The sequence below is a fragment of the Homo sapiens genome, chromosome 18 (assembly GCF_000001405.40).
Source record: "Homo sapiens chromosome 18, GRCh38.p14 Primary Assembly".
In the NCBI taxonomy this organism is placed as follows: Eukaryota; Metazoa; Chordata; class Mammalia; order Primates; family Hominidae; genus Homo; species Homo sapiens.
This window is the reverse complement of record NC_000018.10, coordinates 45,016,480-45,044,310: the sequence shown is the minus strand read 5'-3', so window position 1 is coordinate 45,044,310 and position 27,831 is coordinate 45,016,480. Positions and strand designations below refer to the sequence as shown.

Genomic DNA, 27,831 nt, shown 5'->3' with positions numbered 1-27,831 from the left:
CTTTAAATTTAAGCTTTGTTTGCTCTGGATCTTCTTTGGGAGGTTTTCTACTAAATATTTTAAGTGTTTAGACTGGGCACAAAGGAATATATTTCACAATTTGGAGACTTCTTCAATGTATATATTTATGGTCCCTGGATGTTCCAAATCCTATCAAATTGCACCTTTATTTCTTCTATTTTGGTTCTTCTAAAGATAAGATTTTGGCTGACTTGACCTGTTATTTTGGTTAGGGGCTCCAGGTCATCATTCAACATAACAACAAAAGAAGTAAAATAAATAATTGCATCATTCTTAAATTCCTGTTCATTGCTCTTTTTTGTAGCTGGATATTACTTCCTTATTCTGGGCCCCTTCCCACAGATGGCAGCTGGCTAAGAGAAAACTCAAGTATCATAGAATTTGGGAGCTGAAAGCAATTTTCACATCATTTTGTTCTAGCTACTAGTATGCTGAATTTCATTCTGATTTCATAGTATTAAGAATTCCCACTATTATTTGTAATGGTAATTAATTTTTCAAGCTTAAGGTTTTGCATCTTGACTACAGGTAACAGTTAGTTCTGATTCGACTGATGGCTGGGCTAATAACAAAATGATTTCCCTAACATTAGTCCCTGCCATGAGAAGCAAAATGCCTAAAAATTTAACAGACTTATGAAATTTAAATATTTTTACTTATTCATGGGCTCTGGTAGTTTTAAACATGGTAGATAATATAGTTTGAAATAATAATGGATTAGCCTTGATACAACAGATAGAAGCTAAGAGCTGTGCTCACTCTACTTCCTTGTTATCTCAAACTGAGCTACACCTCGAGCAGTTGAGATCCAATGATAGCATGGCTGATACATGTTTGCTTTTTTTTTTTTCTCCTTGGACTTAAGATGAGAGAATGTTGGTGTGTATGTGTTTGTGTGTGTGTGTGTGAGTGTGTGAGTGTGTGAGAGAGAGAGAGAGAGAAAGGATATACTTGTCTTCCCATTATTGCTAGTCTAGTCTTTCAAGTGCAAAACCATACAGATTTTGTTGCCTTGATGTTTTTCTGAGTTCTTACCACCATTTGGAATCTACTTATTCATACAGACTCATCTTAAATATAAGGGGAAAAAACATGTTTCTGAAATGAAATCACAGTTTCTCTATACATTACGTGATCTCCCTGAGAAGTTAGTTCAACATCTAGAAAATCAGAAAAATCAGCCTGGCTTATTCAGGTATGGATTATCTGATATGATTATTAAATCATGATTGGGCTAGTGTAATAGAAGTTGTTTCAAATTATGCCTCACTTTGAGCAAACTTTAGTGGCGCTTTTACTGCATTAGCCCTAATTACTCACAATAATGATGCAATGCTCCCTTGAATCAGACCTCCTTGGCTGCACCAGGGGACTGCAGCTGATCAATAGCTATTGAGCAGTTTGACCACTGAGGCTGATCTGTTTGAGCACCTCCGGCAGCCACTGTCATCCTCCCTCCCAGTAGCTCACAAACTGACATGTTCCCAGCTCGCCACTCTCTCCTGCATCTCCTCGATGGCCCCCTTTTACAAATCAATAATGTCATAATCATTATGCCTCTGAGACTCTGAGAAGGTAAAAAAATTGCCTGAAACAAAAAAATTGGGGGACCCATATAACACATGCATATATGCATACAAGCTAGAAAACACATATTTGTAAACCCCTGACTCATATTCATTTCTCCCATATTGTATCGTTTATAAAATAAGGTGGGAATGTTCCTTTGTTGTACTTTTACCAAAGATCACCTATTTGAAAAAAGTGCTGTTCTTACTACAGGTTGATAAATTATTTGGCAAGTATTTTCCAGCGGCCTACAAAGTGCCTGTCAAATGATTTCCATTTAATTGTCATTATGCCTGTAATCCTAGCACTTTGGGAGGCCGAAGTGGGCGGATCACCTGAGGTCAGGAGTTCGAGACCAGCCTGGCCAACACGGTGAAACCCCGCCTCTACTAAAAATACAAAAATTAGTTGGGCATGGTGGCATGTGCCTGTAATCCCAGCCACTTGGTAGGCTGAGGCAGGAGAATCGCTTGAATCTGGGAGGTGGAGGTTGCAGTGAGCCAAGATTGCACCACTGCATTCCAGCCTCAGTGACAGAGCAAGACTCCATTTCAAAAAAAAAAAAAAAAAAAAAGCAGTTTCAAGATTGAGTATGTTTTTCTCAGATGTCTCTCACCATATTTAATGCTGTAAAAGCATACAGCTACTGCCTCTCAAACATTTGTTTCACTCAGTGATTATTTACTGAGCATGTACTATGTGTCAGGAACTGTACTAGGTATTTTTGCATCCACTCTTTTTTTTAAAATTTTTTATTTTTTTTTGAGATAGAGTTTCGCTTTGTCACCCAGGCTGGAGTGCAGTGGTGCAATCTCGGCTCACTGCATCCTCCGCCTCCCGGGTTCAAGCAATTCTCCTGCCTAAGACTCCTGAGTAGCTGGGATTACAGGAGCATGCCACCACACCTGGTTAATTTTTGTATTTTTAGTAGAGGTTTCACCATGTTGGCCAGGCTGGTTTTGTACTCCTGACCTCAGGTGATCCACCCACCCTGGCCTCTCAAAATGCTGGGATGACAGGTGTGAGCCACCATGCCTGGCCTGCATCCATTATTTCTAAATAAAATTTCTAATTAATTGAATTACTTCAGTACCTTCTTATCTCAATACACGATTGCTTAAATTTGTTTTATAAGCCACCTAGTTTAACTCTTCTGTCCTTTTTTTTTCTCCCTGCAATTGTCTGGGTTTCCAAAACCATTCTGTAGGAATGGTAACCTATTAGAAAATAAGCTGATCCCTGCCTAAAGCCAGACGTAATTCTACCTTGCTTATAGTGAAAGATGAAGAAAGGCACTCTAAAGAAAACAAAAATCAAGTGAGTTGTTTCATCAGAAATACATATTACAGTACTATATATGTTACTATATTTCAAGCACCTAATTAAATAAGATCAAATCCAGAAACTGTTAACTACCTACTTTGTGCTTGGCTTTGGCTAAAGCTATCTATCTACCCCATCAAATTATGAGTTTCATTCACTGTTCTCCAAAAGAAGTAGAAGTCCATATTTATGGAGAAAAAAAATCTGCCTTTGCTCATGTTGGGACTATGACAGAAGTGGGAATCCACTGGAAATCAGGCAGTAAATCAGGAAATTTGGGTTCCAATCCAACTGTATAACCTCAGGCAAATCTCTGAATCTCAAGAGGCCTCAGTTTCTTCACATGTAAAACAGAGCATTGGCCACAAGCCCAGCCTGTGTGTTTCTAGCTCTCCCAGGTTTGTGGGAAGCTTTTTATCTGTGGGGAGTGAAATCTCAGGAAGGTCTGTCTTCCAGCACCTGGGGTAGATATCTGGCCTATTTCCCCCCAAAAGTCCAGCTCAACAGCCAGAGACCCGGAAATGGACCAAATCTGTGAAATTCTCATGAGGGTCTCATTTAAGTACTGCCAAAAATAAACAGCCCATTCTTGCATCCTGCAACAGGGGAGTCTGGGCTCAGCTCTGATTACCAGGGAGGCAAGTATGAAAGTATAATATCACCTGTTTCTACTGCCCATTTGGCATATTTGTAAATTATTTACTGGATGCACTAGAGGAGGCAGGCCCATATAAGCATGTGATCCCAACAATAAGTTCTCTTATACTGAAGGGAAAGAGTGCAAGGGAGGAAAATGGGGGACCACCTGTCTTTGGCCTCAGAGAAATATCTGTGCATGGCCGGCAAAGGTGGAAACACAAAGGCTAATTTCTCAATCCATAAAGAGAGGTCTCCAGTGCTTAATCGACAAGGTTGAATAACCACTGATCTGGGTGGGTGCAGACAATAGCCCAAATCTTTTGCTTAAGCCAAATGATGTCTTTTTTGAAGTCAGCCACAGCACCAGTTCCCACTTCCAAGACTCTGCCCAACTTGATCCCTTTGTTTGGACACCCTCCCACCAAGGTGCTACTAATCCATCAAGTCTCAGGAGTAACTTCCTCTGCATTTCTGTGTGACTTTCCCTCCTTTGTCTTCTTCTTGTACTCCTCACTGGCACCATTTACCTGGCCATTCCACCAAAAACTTTTTGTTTCACACCAAGTGAAGGCTCATGATCATATTTGAGAGATGACCCCATTCCTTCAGAGCAAGAGTTTTCAAATGGCTGGAGAGAACACCATTTCCAAGAGATGTTAGGAGACAGTCCCAGAAAAAAGGGTTGTGTGTTCAGATATGATTGTGTAATTCGGTGTCTCCCTCCTGCAACCTCCCAATGCACATTGGTCAATGCAAGGCCCCGGAAAGCCCTGCAGGAAGGAACCAGGGGTAAGGCAGCAGCTTTTCCTACACCTACTTTTCCATGAAAACATCCTTTATCACAAAAAACCTACTAGTATTTTGCTGAATTCAATTGGGGAAGTGTCATTCCAAGTGTTTCTTTCTGTTATTTCAACTGGGCTCATTTTCTAATCACCAGTGATTTCCACGAAGGAGGTAGGTATGTAGACAAGTTGAGTTCTTTGCTCAAAGCAAACTGCTAAATTGAAAAATGAATTTGGACTAAATATTAAGAATGAGTCTCTTCTTGGGTTTCTAACAGGGCTTTCTAAATACTGCAATGTGCTTGCCACATTTACATTAATATGTTAATTCAAGAAATATGTATGTAACATTGTCATGCTGTATGTCAGCGAGATAGCAAGAATCTAAACGGTTGACTCTGCCTCTGAGGTATGTGCAATTTTGTTACATGGGAGAAGTTGCAGTCTACGAAATGAGGGGAACTGCACGGTAGAGATTCTGGATGTCCTGGAGGAGCTGTGACTAGCTGGGTTTTAAGGACTTGTAGGATGTAATTAGGAATTGAGTAAGGCTGTCTCCACGTTCAGGTGTTAAGCCAAACCCAAGGCCTGTCTTCCTGGAGGCAGGGATGAGACTGACACAGTGGAGGTGGGCACAGGGGCTGGTGGGAGGCACTGTGGGGAACAGAGGTGGAAAGGACCAGGCTGTGGAGAACTTGAGATATCTAAATAAGGCATTTATATTTTATCCACTGTTGGTGAGGACTCTGGGAACTACTGAGAAATTCATCAATTCATGGGTAGAAGGTACCGATGCATCAATAAATCAGTGATTACTATCTTTCAACCCTGATGAGCAAGGGAGGCAGTGAAACGCACTGGTTGAGAGCATGGGCTTTGGAATCCTGACTGTCCACAGGTTCTTGGGGCAGGCTTCTTTACTCTTAGCTTCCTCTTCTGAAAATGAGGATACAAGTGCTTATTTTATGAGTTACAAGAAATAACATATATAAGGCCCTTGATGCAGAGATTAGTAATTCCTAAGGCTTGATAAAGAGTGATTAATAATGTTAGCATTTAGTTGCTACTCAGTGGACCCATATTAGAATAAAATGAAGAGCTTTCCAGAGTACCCACCCTCCACATTCCCAGGAGATCTCCTTTTCTCAGATCTCCTCCCACTTCAAAGAGCCAGTGCTGAAACGGCTCCCATGTTCAGAGTCTAGGGGAGGATGGCAAAACAGAGAACTCTTACCTGTATTCAACAGGCCATTCTCAGTGGGCTTTCTCCACATTCATCTTGCTTGGGGTGAACCCAAAGCATCTGAAAAGTGCTCACCTGCATCCGACGTTGCTGCAGATGCAGCAAGGAGAGATAACACTGGGGCTGGTGGAATTGTAACACTGTCAACTGCGGCTGGCTTCTTCCTGGTCATCATGGTGGGCACTGAGCCTTCGTTCTTACTATGCACTGCTGTCTGGTCCACTTTTAAGTGGGGACTTGGCATCCCTAAAAAATAACAACCCCAAAGCTTTCAGTCACTTTAAGGGAACAGGAAGATAGACAACATGTAACCTGGACATGATCTGAGGAAATGGTCAAATGATTTGAACACCTCCTTCTGGTACAACAAGAATGAAATTTAAAAATGCTAAAAGAGAAAAAATAGCTATGACTGGTTTTGCTTTTGTGGCTGAAGTTAGGAGTGTTGTCATTCTAGGTTGGCTGCCTGGAAGTGGTGGGGTCACAGCATAGGCCTAATGAAGCAGAATAATCCATCAGGTGCCCCTTTGCCTTTTGAGGATGTACATTCCCATCTTTACAGAGGCTGTGCTGTGTGCAGCATGAAGGGGAGTTCAGAGTGGAAGAGACATGGCTCCCACCCTAGTAAGACTTCTCATCTCATCCAGCTGGGGAAAGAAGACTGAATGAGAAGGAAAAATTGGACAGCAAGCTCGTGCAGGCTTGTGTTTTACTTATCCTAGGTGTTTGGGGAGTTCTAAGGATGGAGAGATCAGTGTTGAAAGAAGTGAGGAAAGGCTCATGCTGAAGCTTCAAGGATGAAGGAAAGGCATTTTCAGTAAGGGCATAGGCTAAGGCATGGGTGGGGAGTAAACATGATCCAGATGAGGCCAGCATGCCGGAGGTGGAAGATGAACTGTGGGGATTAGTGTGTCATCAGCCTGTAGGGTAAGGAGAGCTGATTTGGGGGCCTTTGAGTGTCTGGTCATAACACGCATCATATGTCATGTCATGATGATGCTGAAAAGCCTGAGGAGTCAGGAGGTGCCCCTGTAAGGAACTAGAAATTTCCTGTGTAACAAACAGTAAGAGCTATTCTGCATTCCCATTTCCTGAGCTTGAATCTAGGCTCTGCAATTTTCCAACTCTGTGATGACGAGTAAGTTACTTAATCTCTCCACGTTTTAAACTTCTTTACTTGTAAAAATGGGGTGGTGATGATACTACCTTGTAGGGGCTGTTGTGAGCATCCGACAAGTCAATCCATGTAAAGAGCTTAGAACCGTGCCTAGTGCATACTCCGTGCTATAAAAGTGCTTAACATTATTATTATCCCTATTATTGCGACTATCATTACTATGACCTGCTGCTTCCTCAGAACCAGTGGTAACCAGCAAGCAAAGGGTCAGTTCTTCTCCCTGACATGACTAAGAATATATGGGCACCTTCCCTCCAACCCCAATGCAAAAACAAGGCTCTCTAACTCATCCAAATGTAAGTCAAGAGGCTAAGGGTATGTGAATCCATTTCAAATGGTTACCTATTCAGTTTCTTCATCTGCAGGCTACATAACACTAACAGCAGCAACAACAAATTGGGCCTTACCATATTGGTTCTTGACTCATTTTTTCTATCCCAACTAACCTGACTGATCCAGTCCCCTCCCAGAGTAACACTACCTCACATAGTGAGATCAGCTTCTCTTGGGCCTCGTGGCAACGCTGTGAAGCATGTAGTGTGGATATTACCATTTTCTCAATTTTACAGATGAAGGGAACACATTTCTAAAAGGTTAAAGGAGACCTGAACTCACTCATACAGCTATTAATGTCAAAGCTGGAAGTTTCCAGGTAGCCGGACACTAAACCCAGGGATGACATTGGTCCACCTGGCCAAACTCTAATACCTGATCATGACCCCAGTCTGCTGACAGCATGTTTCATGCTAAGGATGAAGAGGCCCCAGTATCACACCTGGATAAGGCATCTGTAACTACCTAAGGAAGACAGTCATGCTGACATTTACCTCCTTCCTTCCTCCTATTCTCCATTCCAGTCTCTGAAACTCCCAGTTGTGATACCATGAACAAAAATGCCATTTATGCTTTTCTTGGAGTTTATATTTCATAGCACTTTGAAGGTGGAGATAGGCAAACATCAAATTCTATGACAGACAGATTGCAAGGCACAACCATCAAGAAACTAGAAGGTGTAGCAAGTATGTATAATATGCCTTGTTTGTAAAATTTGCAGGTGTGCTCATCATGGGCTAGGTACAGACATATTTAAAATTCATTCAAAATCATTTGTAAAGCGACACATCCAAATAGGTAACAGTGGTTATTCTGAGGAAGGAGAGCTCAGAGACTGGTAAGGAAGAGGGAGTGTTTTTACTTCTTAGCCTTTTTTTTTTTTTTTTTGAGACAGAGTCTCACTCTGTCACCCAGGCTGAAGTGCAGTGGTGCAATCTTGGCTTACTGCAACCTCCACCTCCTGGGTTCAAGCGATTCTCCTGCCTCAGCCTCCCGAGTAGCTGGGACTACAGGTACCTGCCACCACACCTGGCTAATTGTTTGTATTTTTAGTACAGACGGGGTTTCACCATGTTGGCCAGGATGGTCTCGATCTCCTGACATTGTGATCTGCCCACCTCGGCCTCCAAAAGTGTTGAGATTACAGGCATAAGCCACGGCACCTGGCCACTTCTTAGCCTTCTTTATTGTTAATATTTAAAAAACCCACAAATATGTATTAAACTTTTCATTCCTTTCAGAAAACAAACACAGTTTGGAAAATATCCAGAAGCCTATGGGCACTGGGGCAGAATGACTGAGGTATTTTCACAACTTGGCTGCTAAAAAGTCTGATAATGGGCAGAGCAGGCATGAGTCTGATGAAAATTTCCCATTTTGGTACACTGCACCACCATGGCATTCCCACCGAATGGATGGAGGCAGAATTTCCACAGAACAGCTCAGGAAATATAAGCGGTCAGATTTCTTTTGCATAACAGCTCCTCTGGAAAAACTCACTGATATGTCATCTTTATACCTGTGGACACAAGTTGGGAAAGTAATTCTTTGTTTAAATTATGCTATGCTTGGGGCATGAAGGCCATAAACAGGATTAGCAGTCAGATATTTAACTCCCACTTGGGAATAAACGGAGTCAAGTCACTTTAATTGTACCCATTTTTATGCAAATGCTCACAATCCAAATTAGTCTCAGTCCACATCAATTCATTAGAGTTGATCCAATCAGATCTCTCTTGGGTGTACTATGCTACTCAAGTGTTCATGTTACAGAATATACTAAAAGTAATAAAATGATATTTAAAACATTCTATAATTTAGATGGTCACTATTAGCTCTCTTGAAAACCCTAGATCCTTTAGAATTTTCTAGATTATAGTACGGCTTTCTAGTTACCACCCAATGATTTCAAAAACAAATTAAAAAAGAAAAAGAAAAGCCAGACATTTTTCTCAGCCATTTTTGGATTTTGAAAGGATAATGGAAACAATCCTAGAAATAACACAACAAGAATATTAAGAAAGCTTTAAACAAATGCTAATCTATGAACACTCATTAATCCACAAAATCTATCTGAGGGCAGAGGTGTCAGGAGACGGTGATGGGGTACTGGTCCTTGGGAGAGTGCATTGGGCAGGCTACTGGAAGTCTCTTCATTACCCTTCATTCCAGGTGGTGACTGATATTCTATGATGAGCAAAAGCAAAGTTGGGGGCGGGGGGGGCATTTGAAACGTTTCTTCCCAGCATGAACCAGGCTTCTATCAATGGGAGGGAGATTTTTGATGCTAGAGGGTGATCATAAAGAAACCCAGATTTAACCTTGTACGGACTGGACCATTGAGATGTAGCACCACTGCTTACACAGAGACAATCTGTAATGCCACGGGTGTGCTCTGGGAAGGGATCACTGTCTCAAACTCAGAAAGTAGACTGTATGGATAGCACCCTTGGTAGGCGTGTTCAGAGCATCCCTAAACCCCAACACGAGACAAACTGCAGTGAGGATTGCCTATTTGGAGGCCAGTAAGTTTTTAAAGAGGAAAATAACAATGCTAATAACTTTGTGGATCCAACATCTGTTCTTAATTAAAAGACACAGCCGGAAGGAAATACAGAAAACTTAAACCTATAGGAAAAACATTCCGCTATAACCTATTGACCTCTATTGATAATTTTTTTTTTTTAAAAAAGTCTCTGAAACTGTGCTGTAGCCTGTGTAGAAATAGTCACTCATTTTCAAAGGTAATTTCTCATAGACCACTTATCCCCTCAAACCTCTACCTGCACACCGTGTTTGCATTAGGGACTTGATTTATGGATTCCTGCTCCTTCGATGCAGAAGCTGACTTCCTGTTGCCTTGGTTACTTGGAGCTCAGTTCAAGGTTAAACTACTCCCAAATCAAAATCAGTGGCAGGCGCTGCATCTAGCGGCCAGGTTATTGACTGCCCCAGGATGCGAAAAGGTCAGAGACCAAAGCATTGTTTACTACCTTAAGGGTAAGTCAATAGCTTCAATATTTCGATTCTGTTTCTTCCGAAGTAGTAGTTGCTGCTCAATTACCTCTTCCCCAGGTTGCTCAAGGTCACAGAGGTCATGAAGGAAAAGTAGGGTCTGTGGTGGCTGACTTTCCCAGGATCCCTTTAATGAGCTCTGCAACCTTGGATAATAAAAACCAGCCTCACCTTAGAGAAGCTGTATGTTGTTCCATGGTTTATAAAGCTAGTTATCTACTTTATATCATTTCTCTATAGGAAGAAAAACAAACAAAAATCTTTGTGGGATGGCTACTATTTACTACCCTTTCCTAGATAAGAAAGTCAAGGGGTTCAGAGAGGTCATGTGATATGTCTAAAATCACACAGCTGTAAGAGGTGGGATGATCTAGATTCTCTGATTCCCAGTTGGTTCTTTGTTCTGCATAGTTTCTTTAAAATAAAAGAGGCGATGGAGTCATCACCAAGGGATCCATATGTAATTCATTTTGTAACATCCGCTGCAGAGCACAGTATACCTGGCAGATAGTATGTGATTAATATAGGCTTGTTGAACAGTTTAATTAATTTTGTAATTCTAAGATTTGCAAATGTAGATATTTCATGGTAAGAAAGCCCAGGCTGGCATGGTGGAAGAGGCTGACACCACTGGGATGGTTGGTCCCTTTAGTCATCTTCCTGGCTCCCTTTACACTGCAGAAGACAGATTTTGGCATAGACTGGGAGTTATATTGAGCAGTTAGTGGTTTTTAAGCTTGCAAAGAGCTTTGATATGCATTATGCTATTTGTCCCTTGCAGCATCCCTGTGGAGGACAAGAGGCAAATGGTAAAACTCCTAATTTACGAACAAGGAAATAAAGGCACAGAAGACCAAGTGATTTGCCCAAGCTCACATATCATATGTGTGGACGAAGCGAAGCTGAAATCCATGTTTCTTGACTTAATTCAATGTTCTTTCTTTCCCTATAACAAGTAGACTTTTGGGTAAACCAGTAAATGACATATTTTTCACAAGGAAAAAACTACTTTTGAAAACTTGATAATAATTCCCTCGCTAATATAATGGTTGTCTATTCAGATTATTCTATTGTTCTTTTTTCTTGTTTGCAAATGAACTTCATTCATGGCAATAAGGGGAATCGACATTATAGAATAAAGTGAATCAAGTAATAGATACCCGTAGGTTTTGGGAAATAATATTTTTTTGTGCCAAAGTCAATAAAAATTTTATTTTTAAATATGGCACTGGTCAAAACAATTAAAGGCCCTTTTCCCCAAGATTTACATTCTAATAATTTTTCTGTAGCATAAGGGTAGCTGTGGCTTTTTATAAGGGCAATGAAAGAGCCTAAAGCACTTTTTAATCATCAGAAGACAGAGCCTCTGCTACTATTCATATGGCATCTTTGGGTGAATTAGAAAAAGGCAAATTCCAGGTGAATGCAGCTCCATGGACTCAGAGCTTAGTAAAGAGAGGGCACCTTTGGGCAAATTAGAAAAAGACACAGCTTTCTGTGTGCACGTGAACCCCAGGGTCTCATAGCTTGGGGAGAGGAACACAGGATGGATTTTATCCCCATTCTCCTCCCATGCCAGGCACCTGTGAACAACAAACAACCTGCGTAATCAGAGGTGGTGACCCTATCAGCATTAGTTTTATGTCAAATAAGTTTTACTTCATTCTAGGATGAGTGAAGAGATGAATGAAGGAAATTTATCATCATCACTTTCATTCTAAGATAAATTTCACCTTTTAGGATGAAGGTTACTCTTGGGCAGAATACTATTTACTGAGTCTAGAATAAATCATTTGGAATTTAACAATCATTTGAGAGTTGACTAGCAAAACTTGGAAGTTGTGATCTCTGTCTTCACAGAGATGGTTTAGAAGTGGAGAGGGGGGTAAGACAGAAACACCTATAAAATTGATAAACCAAACAACGAAGGATGTCCAACGAGTCCTTCACAAATTAGGAGGCAAATGAGATCTCAGTGGGATCTGAGGTGACCTCCTTTCATCCATTTATTATTTCAATGTTTATTAAGAACCCATAGGTGACAAGCACCATCAGGCCTCAGGAACTTGAGTCCTTTCCGAACAGAGTCAACCATCCACTCAGGAAGATACACACAGGTACAGAACTCTCAATATTAAAAGTTGGGTAGAATTCCACAACTAGAAGCAGAAGGAGGGCCTGCCAGGGCTGGAAAATGACCAGAGCAAAAGCAGAAATTACATTTCTTTGTGCAGCTGCAAAAAGAGTGCTTTGGATGAGTTGTAAAAAAACAAATACTGAGCTATGCCTGGAAAGGCAGCTGGGAAAAATTAAAACCACATCTTCTTGTCAGGTAGAGTTCAGGCCTCCTTCCCATTTGTCGTCTCACCATCCTGAACATACTTCTGTAACAGAATATACCTCCTGTTTCATACTTATTTGTTCATTTCTCTTCCAATTCTTCTAGGCAATTGTAAAAGTTTTGGGGTTACAAACCATGTCTCACTTCCTGTTGGTTCCCCGGCACCTAGCTTGGTAGATACTAGGTACTTACAAATGTTAGATGGACACATCTATCATTCTAGGCTCAAACCTTTTAGGAAACTGCACTAACTACTTTAGCCTACATATTCCTCTATTCTTAAACTCCTTTTTTCCATTAAAGTGTGTATAGTATACATGCTATAAAATATAGCAAATAGGTAAAGAATATATTCTCTAGAGTGAGACTGCTGGTCTTACTAGCTGTGTGATCTTGGGAAAGTTGCATTAGCTTTCCATGCCTCAATTTTTTTCATCTGTTAATGACGTTGTTGTGTGGATTAAAGGAGTTTACATATTGGGGTAAACAGAAAATAATGTTTCCCCTCCAAAGCTGTCCACATCGTAATTCCTAGAACCTGTGAATATGACAAAGGTAAATTAAGATTGCAAATAAAAATTAATGCTGCTAATCAGCTGACCTTAAGATAGAACAAGTACTCTTAATTATCTAGATGGTCACAATACAATCACAAAAGCCCATTCAAATGAAAGAACGCAGAAGAGAAGAGTTAGTGAAAAAGAGATATGATGACAGAAACAGGGCAAGAGAAAGCAGGAAAGATCCAAAATTGACACCCTAACATCACAATTAAAAGAACTAGAAAAGCAAGAGCAAACACATTCAAAAGCTAGCAGAAGGCAAGAAATAACTAAGATCAGAGCAGAACTGAAGGAAATAGAGACACAAAAAACCCTTCAAAAAATTAATGAATCCAGGAGCTGGTTTTTTGAAAGGATCAACAAAATTGATAGACTGCTAGCAAGACTAATAAAGAAGAAAAGAGAGAAGAATCAAATAGACGCAATAAAAAATGATAAAGGGGATATCACCACTGATCCCACAGAAATACAAACTACCATCAGAGAATACTACAAACACCTCTACACAAACAAACTAGAAAATCTAGAAGAAATGGATAAATTCCTCGACACATACACCCTCCCAAGACTAAACCAGGAGGAAGCTGAATCTCTGAATAGACCAATAACAGGCTCTGAAATTGTGGCAATAATCAATAGCTTACCAACCAAAAAGAGTCCAGGACCAGATGGATTCACAGCTGAATTCCACCGGAGGTACAAGGAGGAACTAGTACCATTCCTTCTGAAACTATTCCAATCAATAGAAAAAGAGGGAATCCTCCCTAACTCATTTTAAGAGGCCAGCATCATCCTGATACCAAAGCCTGGCAGAGACACAACCAAAAAAGAGAATTTTAGACCAATATCCTTGATGAACATTGATGCAAAAATCCTCAATAAAATACTGGCAAACCGAATCCAGCAGCACATCAAAAAGCTTATCCACCATGATCAAGTGGGCTTCATCCCTGGGATGCAAGGCTGGTTCAATATACGCAAATCAATAAATGTAATCCAGCATATAAACAGAACCAAAGACAAAAACCACATGATTATCTCAATAGATGCAGAAAAGGCCTTTGACAAAATTCAACAACCCTTCATGCTAAAAACTCTCAATAAATTAGGTATTGATGGGACATATCTCAAAATAATAAGAGCTATCTATGACAAACCCACAGCCAATATCATACGGAATGGGCAAAAACTGGAAGCATTCCCTTTGAAAACTGACACAAGACAGGGATGCCCTCTCTCAACACTCCTATTCAACATAGCGTTGGAAGTTCTGGCCAGGGCAATCAGGCAGGAGAAGGAAATAAAGGGTATTCAATTAGGAAAAGAGGAAGTCAAATTGTCCCTGTTTGCAGATGACATGATTGTATATCTAGAAAACCCCATTGTCTCAGCCCAAAATCTCCTTAAGCTGATAAGCAACTTCAGCAAAGTCTCAGGATACAAAATCAATGTACTAAAATCACAAGCATTCTTATACACCAATAACAGACAAACAGAGAGCCAAATCATGAGCGAACTCCCGTTCACAATTGCTTCAAAGGGAATAAAATACCTAGGAATCCAACTTACAAGTGATATGAAGGACCTCTTCAAGGAGAACTACAAACCACTGCTCAATGAAATAAGAGGATACAAACAAATGGAAGAACATTCCATGCTCATGGGTGGGAAGAATCAATATCATGAAAATGGCCATACTGCCCAAGGTAATTTATAGATTCAATGCCATCCCCATCAAGCTACCAATGACTTTCTTCACAGAATTGGAAAAAACTACTTTAAAGTTCATATAGAATCAAAAAAGAGCTTGCATCGCCAAGTCAATCCTAAGCCAAAAGAACAAAGCTGGAGGCATCACGCTACCTGACTTCAAACTATACTACAAGGCTACAGTAACCAAAACAGCATGGTACTGGTACCAAAACAGAGATATAGATCAATGGAACAGAACAGAGCCCTCAGAAATAATGCCGCATATCTACAACTATCTGATCTTTGACAAACCTGAGAAAAACAAGCAATGGGGAAAGGATTCCCTATTTAATAAATGGTGCTGGGAAAACTGGCTAGCCATATGTAGAAAGCTGAAACTGGATCCCTTCCTTACACCACATACAAAAATTAATTCAAGATGGATTAAAGACTTACATGTTAGACCTAAAACCATAAAAACCCTAGAAGAAAACCTAGGCATTACCACTCAGGACATAGGCATGGGCAAGGACTTCATGTCTAAAACACCAAAAACAATGGCAACAAAAGCCAAAATTGACAAATAGGATCTAATTAAACTAAAGAGCTTTTGCACAGCAGAAGAAACTACTAGCAGAGTGAACAGGCAACCTACAAAATGGGAGAAAATTTTCGCAACTTACTCATCTGACAAAGGGCTAATATCCAGAATCTACAATGAACTCAAACAAATTTACAAGAAAAAAACAAACAACCCAATCAAAAAGTGGGTGAAGGACATGAACAGACACTTCTCAAAAGAAGACATTTATGCAGCCAAAAAACACATGAAAAAATGCTCACCATCACTGGCCATTAGAGAAATGCAAATCAAAACCACAATGAGATACCATCTCACAACAGTTAGAATGGCAATCATTAAAAAGTCAGGAAACAACAGGTGCTGGAGAGGATGTGGAGAAATAGGAACACTTTTACACTGTTGGTGGGACTGTAAACTAGTTCAGCCCTTGTGGAAGTCAGTGTGGCGATTCCTCGGGGATCTAGAACTAGAAATACCATTTGACCCAGCCATCCCATTACTGGGTATATACCCAAAGGACTATAAATCATGCTGCTATAAAGACACATGCACACATATGTTTATTGCGGCACTATTCACAACAGCAAAGACTTGGAACCAACCCAAATGTCCAACAATGATAGACTGGATTAAGAAAATGTGGCACATATACACCATGGAATACTATGCAGCCATAAAAAATGATGAGTTCATGTCCTTTGTAGGGCCATGGATGAAATTGGAAATCATCATTCTCAGTAAACTATCACAAGAACAAAAAACCAAACACTGCATTTTCTCACTCATAGGTGGGAACTGAACAATGAGAACACATGGACACAGGAAGGGGAACATCACACTCTGGGGACTGTTGTGGGGTGGGGGGAGGGGGAGGGATAGCTTTAGGAGATATACCTAATGCTAAATGACGAGTTAATGGGTGCAGCACGCCAGCATGGCACACGTATACATACGTAACTAACCTGCACGTTGTGCACATGTACCCTAAAACTTAAAGTATAATAATAATAAAATAAAATAAAATAAAAAGAAAAAAGAAACAGGGTCAGAGAGATGCTATGTTGCTGTCCTGAAGACTGAGGAAGGAAGTCATGATCACGGAATGCAGATGGCATCTAGAAGCTAGAAAACAAGGAAATGGATTATCTCCTACAGTTTCTAGAAAGAAATGGAGCTCTCCTTGATTTTAGCTCAATGAGTCCCATTCAGACTTCTGTCCTCCAATACTGAAAGATGATGCATTTATGTTGTTTAAGCCACTAAGTTTGTGGAAATTTGTTATGGCAGCAAGAGAAAACTAACGCACGTGTAAGAACACTTCCTTTGGTGCCCATTTATAGTAAACACTCAATTGTGTTAACCATGATTACTTCTTAGCACTACACTTAGTGATTGGCTCATTTTAAACTTATTTCTTACATATGTTAAAGTTAAGTGCGTCCCCTACAAGATTTTAATTCCTAGAAAGCAGAGACTTTATATTCTTTTCCTATATCTTGCTAGCATAAGACTGATCCAAAGAAATTATTCAATGGATATTTTTGGTTAATATCTTATATGAGAGAGAAATAATTTGCTAATATGAAAGTTAAGAGACTGAAATCATGAGACATTGGGTTATTGCAAGCTCTTCCCCATGATAGTTAGATGAACTTGGACAAGACTTGGAATCTCATTCTGCTTTGGTTTCCTTCTGGTCAGAATAAATCACTATTCTGATTCTGAGCTTTCTAGATTCAGAGAAACCACTATACATGGTCTGGCTAGTTCTTGCCTTCTTAATTCAGAAGTGCAGAAATAGACTGAGGAGATAACATTTTTGTTCATTAGAAAATAATAGATTTACATTAAAGAGTATTTTACTCTATGCAGTAAATTATAATAATGCAGAAGTCACTCTCTCTCGATTCTATAGTGGAAAGGTTATGCCAGCTCAAAGGTGTTCTCTAGAAGTGTCCAATGACATCATTTAGAATGGAGAGGTATTAGACATAAAAATTGCAAAGAGGAGACATCCCAAGTTAAAGGTTTTAATTTTTCTGCATCTCCAACATCAGATTCTATTCTTCCCAGGTCAGTGGTGGTGGGGGAGGGAGAAGCACATATATACACACAGAACCCAGCTTAAAGTTCATAGATATTTTTAAGCTCAGGTTAGAATTCTTGCCTAAGTTGGTTTGTACACGCACATACACACGTGTGTACACGCGCATGCACACACACACACATGCTACAGAAGGACAAAGCACAGATGGACAGAACCAAACAAAATGCTGATGTAATTGCAACCATGCTTTAAAAAGTGCAGAGACAATAGGGTGGTAACTATTCTCTGAAAAGTATAACAAAGGGAGTTGCAAAAGGTACTAACAAGGAAAAAAACCAATGCGTGCATGTAAGTAAGACCAATTTAGTAGTACAATGTACCAAGTATGCACGTTACATCCTTGGCAATCAGGTAGGTTACGAATTTGCTATAGTAATAGACATAAAGCATGTTACAGGCTATTGCTGAACATATTGGAGCTTCGGTAAAGTAAAATCAAGGTAGGTTAAGGGTGGAAGAAAGCTAGTCCAGTCCTTCCTGGGTATCTGAGTCCCAGAAAGGGGATGTGACTTGCTGTGCCTAGTGTCACATACAGAGGGTGGCAGAGGCATGATTCTGACACTAGTCATGTCCTTGGATCGTCTCAGGCCAGCATGCTGGCTTGGTGCTCAAAGGTTATATTCTGAGACTTCAAGAAACCAGTCTTCTTTTACTCCTGGTGTATGCTTGTTATGCCATAATCACAGCATGGCTTAGAAACAGACCAAGCCAAAAATGCCAGATGTGATACAAGCTGTAGGGCCACTGTCTCTAGAAGATTCTTCTCTAGATTCTTCCTAATGTGAAGGACTTAGTAATCAATGCCAGTTAATATAAGCATCTTTTGTAGTGTCTTCCTTTTTACCTCTAGAGCACATAGTCGCAGAGCACATCTGCATGGTAATACAGATCTCAATGCTAACTGGGTCACCTTATTTGCATTTTGATTACTGCTTATTTAGAAGCCACATTGAAAAAAGAGCTTGATATCAGGAACTTAGTGCATGCGTGCACATAAATATATGTCTAAACAGATAAATGCACATTTACTGGCTTGCGAAAGATTAGCCCAACATGTCCTCACCTTTTATGGACATATCTGTAGAAGTTTGGCCATGTATTGATGTTGGGATTGTAAATAAGGTTATGGAATATAATTAGTCTTCTCAGCAAAAGATCACCCACTGTATATGGCTTGAGAAATCAATTCAGCATACATTCCCCTTGTTAAGTAGTCATGTCTTTTGAGATGAGAAAGTTGCATTGTTTTAAGTGCTTTATTGGGTGTCCTTTCTTCAAACCACCTACTTTATTTCACTGTTTGAATTCCTCCTGTAGAATACAAATACATAGTGATTGTGTGCAGGCATGCACATGTAGATACAGAATGTGTGCTAGAAAAGCTCTCCTCTTTGCAATAGAAGTGAAAAAAAAAATCAGAGAAACTCAGACCCATCATTAGATAGATCTCCTAATCTTTATCTCTAGTAGTTCAGTCAGACAAGCTAATACCATGATGATGTCTTTGAAATCTCTTAGCAATTGGATGAGGAGAAGCGATAGTGATGAACTCCCAGCTAATAAACACAGAGTGCTTATTTCGGCAGAATGATCAATTTCTAGATGTCCTGAGGCTTGTCTGATACAGTTGATTTACTCATCCTCGCTTACTTCACTAATAAAGCCAAAGTCCACCATCAGATTACAGAGGTGCCTGGGATTTCTTAAAGGGGCAGGAGAAAGCCAAGGTAGTATTCATCACCTCCCTTTAAGCATCTCTGAGCATCTGTAGCCCTTGAAACCCCAGCTGCCTTCCTCGGCTGATACTCTGTACTCAATAGACTTTGGGCTAGTACAGTAATACAGACAATTAATTTGTTATCTTGTTAGTGGAAATTTAATGCAATGATCTAAAAGAACTCTTACATATTGTGATAAACTTTAGTGCCTCCAGGCGGCTCCCTTCACATTGGGCTCATTTCACATCTCATCCATTATGTAAATGAGATTTGGAAATAGTTGAGTTTCACTAATGTAGCTCAACCCTGATGGATTGGAGAGAGTCAGTCCTACTGAAACTAATGAGGTTAAATGCATCTCAACATTTCTTTCTACTTGGTTGATTCTGTAAGCCCCTGTTTAAGAAATGGATGCAGTGCATTTCTTTCAACCCTCCTCTAAGGTAATTTCACTGTTGCCTGGCTCCAGAGTGGTCCAAAGTAAGTCTGATTTGGATGATGTCTGTGTTGGTTCCAACCACTGCATTGTGCGCAGAGCTAATGGACAGCCTGCCATTACATTGTAGCAAGACTGACGAGTTAAGATAAAAGGGAAGTATTTTAATAGTAACTGTGTCTGAGAAGGTCTTTAGGTCATCCAGAGAAGAGTAGTGGGAAGTTTACAGAAGTGTACAGTGAAGATGAAGAGCCCTCGGTGGGGCTTGAGCTAAGAAAGGAAACTGTCATTGGGGAGGTTTGGAACTGGTAGAGAGATATTGCCTCTGAGTCAAAGATTCACAGACTGCTATGGAGGCAGAATGCTATTAAAAAAGAAAGAAGCATTTCAGGAAAAGCAGCCTCACACTATTATTCAGCATCATGGAACCAGAGAGGTGAGTACAGGATGCTAGTTTGAATCAAAAATCTTTTTTTTGATTCTGAACTGGCATCTTGTCTCCAGTCTTTGAAACTCCCATTTCTCAGCCTTCCAAATGAAATCCCTATTACAGAAGTCCTTACTCTTTATGCCTGTCTCAAGACACAAGAAACAGCCTGTGAAATTGTTTAGTCTTTGTTTTAGAGGGGAGAGAGGTTAAGAGGAGGAGAGTAAAGCAAAGACATGGAGACAGAAGCATTCTGTGTAAGGATCAAAATCCAAATACGTTAGTCAGTAATTGGGAAATATGCCACTTATAAGAAAAGAAGTTTTCAGCTGGTGGATAAGGCCATGCCCCTGGAGCCAGACGGTCCTTGGTTTAAATCCCAGCTTTGTCACTTAACTAGGTATTTGACCTTGTTTAAATGATTTAACCTCTTAAAGCTTCAGTTTCCTTATTTTTTAAAAGTGTAACAAACCTCCTACCTCAGAGGGCTATCGTAGGGATTAAATGAGATAATGCCAATAAAATGCTTAGCAAAGTGGCTGGCACAGAGAATATGCTCAGAACAGGCTAGCCAGGAACAAAGCCAAAGAACTTTGAATATTTAAAAGGCATTTAGGGTGGACACTACCAAATGCCTGACTGGAGGGTTGCAATTTGGATGACAGGTTGCTGGCCAACTAATTGCTCGATCTCTGCCATCCTAACTAACTTCGAACTCTCTGAACGCTGGAACCCCAATAAGCCAAGTTTTGTCATCATCTACATATTCAATTTGATGCTACATTCTCAATCAACGGCTGGTGGTTGGCTATAAGGAAGCAGTTTTGTGCACGTGTTAATTTATTCAGTAAAAGTTTCAGTGCCTACTGTGAATACAGCAACTCCGTGCCCTTTGGGGGACTGTAAAATATAAGAAACAGTCTAGTCTTTGGGTAGCCGAATATCCAGTTGATGAAACAAGATGCTGGAACAAGAAATTTAAATAAAAATAAAAATCTCCCCTGAGCCGAAAAGATCACCCATATTACCTTCCATTGTACCTGGGACCACACTAGAGATTTATGGAGGTGACTTGAACTAGCATATTCTAGCACAATCATTAAAAATGGAATTTATTTACTATATGTCTCAGATACAAACATAAATAATTGATCTGGTTGATTAAGAATCAGAATTTATGTTAACATAGATACCACAATAAAAGTAACAAGGCAACCAGTATGATAATTTTTATGAAAAAGCAGCATTTCAAAACAGTTAAGAGGATAAGCTCTGAGCCCATTCTCAGTGTTCAAATCACAGTTCTACAAGCTACTGGTTATCCAGGCCTGGGTAAGTTATTTAATCTCTCTGTGCTTCAGTTTACTCATCAATAATAGAACTAATAGTAGTACCTATCCCCCAGGCTTAAATGTGAGGCTACTAAGATACAAAGACACATTTCTATCTTCAAAGTGCCAGAGGCAAACATGTAAATGCTAATTTTATTTATTCTTATTTTTATTTTTTGAGATGGAGTCTCGCTCTGTTGCCCAGGCTGGAGTGCAGTGGTGTGATCTCGGCTCACTGCAACCTCTGCCTCCTGGCTTCCAGTGATGCTCCTGCCTCAGCCTCCCATGTAGCTGGGATTACAGGCACCTGCCACCATGCCTGGCTGGTTTTTGTATTTTTAGTAGAGATGGGGTTTCACCATGTTGGCCAGGCTGGTCTCGAACCCCTGACCTCACGTGATCTGCCCACCTTGGCCTCCCAACGTGCTGGGATCACAGGCGTGGGCCACCGTGCCTGGCCTGTAGATGCTAATTTTATTACTCTGTGAGAAGGATCACAGGCTCAGGTGTAAGAGCCATGACTACTAGAAAAATGAGTGACTTCACTGTTGGGGAGGAAGGACGTCACTGAGAAGGTGGTTGCACTCAGCACTTATTTGGAAGCATTCACTGAAAGGAGATGAAAGACTTTCCAGGAAGAAAGGCCAGCCAGCATAAAGGCATGAAGCACACAACAGTACCGCATGTTTGGGGAAACACAAGAATTCTTGTGTGGCCAGACTACAGGTTTCTGGGGTGGCCAGGTGAAATATAACAGAAGACTGGGCTCAGGATCAGACAGGGAATAGTGCCTGGAGTTTGAATTTCACCTGTGGGTCATATGGAGTCATGAAGGATGTCTATGTAGAACCATAAACACTCAGCCATGGAAAAGAGGTGGTTTGTTCTCTATGTGTCCAACTTGGGACAAAATCTGCTCCTAGTAGGTTTTGAGAAGGTGGCCAAGCAATTTTAAGACACTTTCGAATCAAGGGTAGAAACTGAACTTTTGTTCAGTTAACAGTAGGGCATAGTTAACTCGTGTGCCCTACTGTACATAATTCCGACTTGCCTTCCCTTGGTTTCCTTTTCTCTTCCTCAACATTTATTGGACAAATTCTACATTAGAAGTTTCTTTCTAGGCACTATGAGGGAAACACTAAGGAATAAGTTATGTTTTTTGCTCAGAAGACACCTAAACCCATGCTCAAATGATTATTTTTGCAAATCAAATCTTATTTGATTCATTAGGACAGCTCATGTTTAGAGAAAGCTGGAGAGGAGGGCTTAGAGAGAGTTATGTTTTCAAGAAAATAAGACCCTCCCTCTCTAGTGTATGTATTCTGCAAATGTGAATTTTTATATATTTGCTCTGGGGTTTTCAATTTTTCTTCTTCTCTTTATGAGTTGTATATTTGACATAGTTTTAAAGGACTTCATTCCCAGCACCAAATTTCCTATAATGCTCATTCTCCAATTATGAAAAAGCTTTGAACACACGAAAGAAAATGGGAGGTTTGGGAAGAGAAGAGAAACAACTGAATAATAATGACAGAGGGTGAACATTTCATTGGTGGTCTAAGAGGACAGATATGCAGATAGAAACCATACAGGCAGTTTAACCAGGAGAGCGAGTTGGGGAGGCCATTAGACCAGGCTGGGGGATTAATGTCAGTTCCTAAACAAGCACATGCATTATAGATTTAAACCGTGGCATCCTAATAACTGATTAAAAATAGTCAAAATAGATGATAGCTGGCATACAGACCCAAAACTAAATTGTTTTACTAATTTCAAATTTCATGCCTTGTTTAATTTGCAAACTGAAGTCAGTCCAGTAAGTTATAGATACCACTGAATTGATATGTGTTGTGATATTCATGTATTTATTCATATTACCTATTTATTTGTTCAACAGATGTCTGCTGAGCAACTATATTGAAGAAGGATGTCTGCCAGACCTTAGTAACAATGTCATTGCAAAACAAGATAAAGATGAAAAGAATTGGTATAATAACCAAGAAAGGGCAGTGATGATTATCATTCTAACTAAAGACAAACCACACATATTGAATTTCTGACCGCTATAGAAAGAAGAGTATTGAACATTGAGATTAGTTCAATACACAAACACCCCACATTTGCAGATGGATATGCAATAGAGAACAAAGCACATTGCACTGATGTCTGGAAAGTTTTGCACACCTAGTGATTCATTTACAGACCATGCTGGACAGGAGCATCTCCATACAGAGGTGACTTCAGGTGTTCAGTGCATGGTTTATGGTCATCAAAAAAAATTGCATGGTGAGAGGACAGAGATTCAGGACATGGGATTTCCAGACTCACTTATCTTTAGCTCTATGAGTTTGAGCATGTTACTGCTTTTTGTCCTGAGTTTCTTTATGGCCTCTAATTCCTTCTGATTCTGCATTTTGGGTAGATAGAAGAATTTCCTCTGCTCCTAAACTGTAGGAAATTCACCTGGCCACCTTAAGGGAAGATCTGAGAGCCAAATGTGGGAAACATTCCTATTTTTTAGAAGATAACAAAGATCTCATTTTTTCTTTAGATAAACCAAATAAAGTGTAATGGGTTTTGGGCATGGAAAGGCCTGGAGAACCCAGTTAGGTCCAGGCTTGTCTGGGTGTTTCTATGATGTAAGTGTGGGTGCCTCATAGTAAAAGTGACTCAGAAGGACATGCCCTAGTGTTGCCTTCGAGGAGAAGCCACTTTTTTTTTTTTTTTTTTTTTTTTTTTTTTTTTTTTTAAGACAGAGTCTTGCTCTGTCACCAGGCTAGAGTGTAGTGGTGTGATCTCGGCTCACTGCAACCTCCACCTCCCAGGTTCAAGGGATCGAGGAGAAGCCACTTTTTAACAAAGTCCCTTTGGTTATTTCAGGACCAACTAACTGTCCACGGCTGAAGACCAAACGATTATATGAGTAACTTTAAATCTCAACCTGCCACAACCCTGGGAGGTAGATAATACCAACCATATTTTATATATAAGGAAAATGAGGCTGAAATGTTCAGAAGCATTCAAAGGTCTCACAACTAAATGTTACAAGGAATTTGAACCCAAGTCTCTATGGTAGGTGCTTTTTCTTAAGCAGCTTTCCTTTCCCATGGCCACTGGAAATACAATTGACAATTTAGTGTGTGGACTCCAAAAACCGGCAGAGAGAATGAGAGGTGTTTTTTATGCATGTCCTTTAGGTAAAGGTATAAAAAAAAATTCTTGTCAACAAATGGCTTGTTTCTTAATTCTGTTTAGTTAGCCCTGGGTTCAAACAGGTAATGGCCTAATGTGGGATTAAGAAGTTGCAGAACCTGTTGAAAAAAAAATACCAATTCTGACTGAATGTGCAATTAGGCCACAACTATGGAAAACATCCATGTACTCAGAGCTAAAAAATAACTGTCAGGTTTGACAGGAACCTGAGAATTAAGCTTCCCAAAGAGAAGAAAGGAAGCTGAAACCAGGATTCAGAGAGCAAATGAAATAGTCAAGAATTGCCAATGAGGCAAATGCCAGACTTTTAAAGAGATTTAAAAAAATTACTCACAAAAAACGATAAATACATGAGTCAATGTATGTTAATTAGCTCGATTTAGCCATTCCACAATATATACATGTTTCAAAACAACATGTTGTACAGGATAAATATATATAATTTTTATTTGTCAAGTAAAAAGAAATTCCCCGACTGTATTCCCCAAACCTGGAAATTATTACATTTCCCAACTAACAAACCTGACAGTAAAACATTATTTTTTCCAGCCTTGGTTATGTAATATGTGGAATGTGTTTGTTTTTAAAAGTACCATTTTTAAAATCATCAAAGTTATCTGAGGGCAGCCCTTTTGTCAAGCCAAAAATGTGCTTGAAGGACATCCAGCCTAGAGAGTTCCTGGGTTCTAGGCTTGAGCAGGTGGAGGCTTCCTGTCTCCAGTGGTGTCATCAAAGGCTTGTCTGTTATTGAAGACATGGTGGGGTGGCAAGCCAATGGTTTTCCAGTGTTTGTTTGAAAATCTCTCATTAGGAGTCTATACTCTCCTTCTCACCTCTGGATCAGTGCCTCCTCTCCATTGTCCTAGGTTCCTTCCTGCTCATTCCTAATCAGGAGCAGGTAACCTCCCTTACTCAGAACTTCCACATCCGTGACCTTGCAGGGAGCATGAGCCTATGCCATAGCTCCGTAAATTTTGCTCGTAATCAGTTTAATACTTAGCCACATGACATTTCGAATTCATAGAATCAATCAGATACATCTTTAACCACTGCTCTGTTTTGAGCAGAAAAATTAACTTAAGCCTTAGATCCCCTGTCTGTAAAATGGGAATAAAATGAGATATCTTAAGGAATTTGTTGTGAGGCTTCAATGAAGTAAAAATCTATCCAGCACATAACACATCACCTGGCTCCTAACTAGCATGCTGTTATTTTAACATTATTACTGTTACACATAACAATCCTGACTTCCCAATACGATAATTAGTAAGTTGAGGAAAGAGACAATGTCATATACTTCTCATATGTTTCCAAGAGCGTCCACCCAGCAAAGGGCTAGTGAGAGGTCACATGATCAACACATATGTGTTTAATGGAAGTACACAGTGTTTGGTAAAGGGCACAGACAAGAACAGCTCAACACATACAAAACCACACAACTAACACTACCATTTGAAATGAAAACAAGATGGTAATTTTTCTCAGTCTGCATAAGGAATGTTTTACAAGTCTATAAATATTATAAATAAGAGAATTCAATTTTTATGATTTGAGGATTCACAGTAGAAATAAGGGCTATTTATTATTCCATTTCCCCTTTAAAGAAAGTGAAAAACAGAGGAGGTGTTTAACTGTGAGTGTCTTTAATTCTGAAATGGAGGGTCAGATGTGGTAAGGGAGAATCACTCAAAATCTGTAGCCCAGATGTTAGAATCCCAGACTATCAGGACTGGGAAGGATCATTAAGTGGATTCCAATATTCCACTGATGAGGAAACTGAGGCTCCCAGAAGTCATACTACATTGTTGGTGACACTGTCCCAACTCAGACCTCTGCACCCTGGTCCTCTTACCAACTCACTGAGAGCAGCCAGGACTTTCATGTGATTTTCCTGCCCAGGTTCCTAACTTTGCAGTTTCTTTGCTTATTTTGCCTAATGACTGTGAAGGCCCCATTAGGGAACGTGCTAAAGTGAGGTAGGGACGCAGTGTGGTGGGCAGACTCCTGCAGAGCAATGTGTGATTTGCTTTTGAGAGTAATTCGAAGACAAGAGGAACACATAGGGGCTTCTGACATCAATAAAAGTCACTGGTCATAATGGAAAAAGATCAGACCATGGTTTGCACTTTAAAAGAAACAAATTAGGTGGCAGTGTTCATTAGTAACGAGGCAGCACTTGCCAAAACATTGATAGCCACCTTTACAGCCACCTCTTTGTCTCTGTCACCAGTGGAAAACCATATCCCAGTCCCTAAAATTGCCCTTCCCTGCAAAGGTCCCTTCCTTCGGAGGAGTTTCTCAGATGCCAATCCATAATGCAGCTAAGTGTTCACAGTGGGCACAGGACTTTGGAGTTGCAGGTCCTTAGAGCTGGAGGGGGTCTTAGTGATCATTTTCCTGCCAAAAGAGGCTGGGGCCACCCAAGGGGACACATTTTGCAGAGTCCACAGTTTTGCCCTATGTTGGCCATATTTACTGGAGGGTGGGGTCTGGAGTTGTGTGCCTCAGGTCTGCTGTCAGCCAGTTTCATCCTCCTTCCACTCCTTCTGAGAAAGTGTGTCGTGCCCAGACCACCTGGGCCTGGGTCCCTCTTCCTGTTTTTTTTCTAGCTCTCCAAAGCCTGGAGCACTGGCTGTGTGGTTGTGGTGAAAATCAATTCAGAGTCCTTTTATCTCCACATTAAGCCTCCATAGCCAGCTGTTTTTATATGGAAGTCCCCACAGGCTGGGCCCGGTCTAGTGACCATTTGCAAGAAAACAAAGGACGAGACAAAAAGGCTGATGATGGCAGTTTTTAGAGGTGGGTACAGCAATTCCAATGGAGGGGGAAAAATTAAAAGATGACACTTCCACGCAGCCGTGAAAGGAGACGGAGGAGTCCTTCCTCTCCTTGAACAATAAAAGGCTCCTGCTAATTTTTACCAGAGTCGGCTCTGAAAACCTGCCGTTGACTGTGAGTCACTGGCCCTCCGGGGAATAGGAGGTGGGGAGGTGGGGAGGTAGGGGTGGGGGTGGAGTGAGAGCTCTCTGTGTGTGTGTGTGTGTGTGTGTGTGTGTGTGTGTGCGCGCACCAATGTGTATAATCTCACAGTGCCCAGAGCCCTGGAGATCCTGGAACACTTCAGTAGCACAGGCCAGATTCATTAAAAACCCTGGCTACAGGCCAGCAGTTAAAATTGAAGCAGCATATTTATTGCATTTTGTTCAAATAAATCTGAAAACGTGTGAATCATATTCCTTGGAGAGATTGGGAGAAGAAGTAAACAACATCAGGCTAATACTTACAAGCCGTGGCGGAGAGAGAACAAAGATACAG

At 40.4% G+C, this 27,831-nt stretch overlaps 1 protein-coding gene across 17 annotated transcripts in view; it reads right to left on the bottom strand.

Moving 5' to 3' along the window:
- SETBP1 (SET binding protein 1) overlaps positions 1-27,831 on the bottom strand; it is a 388,438-nt gene that overhangs the window by 24,200 nt on the left and 336,407 nt on the right. For 14 of the 17 annotated variants that reach the window (XM_024451149.2, NM_001379141.1, XM_047437479.1 and 11 more), the window contains one exon: positions 5,656-5,826. The exons of the other annotated variants lie outside the window; for them this stretch is intronic. In XM_024451149.2, the coding sequence (XP_024306917.1) occupies positions 5,656-5,826 (171 nt within the window). The remainder of the gene's footprint in view (positions 1-5,655; positions 5,827-27,831) is intronic. 17 annotated transcript variants of the gene reach the window in all.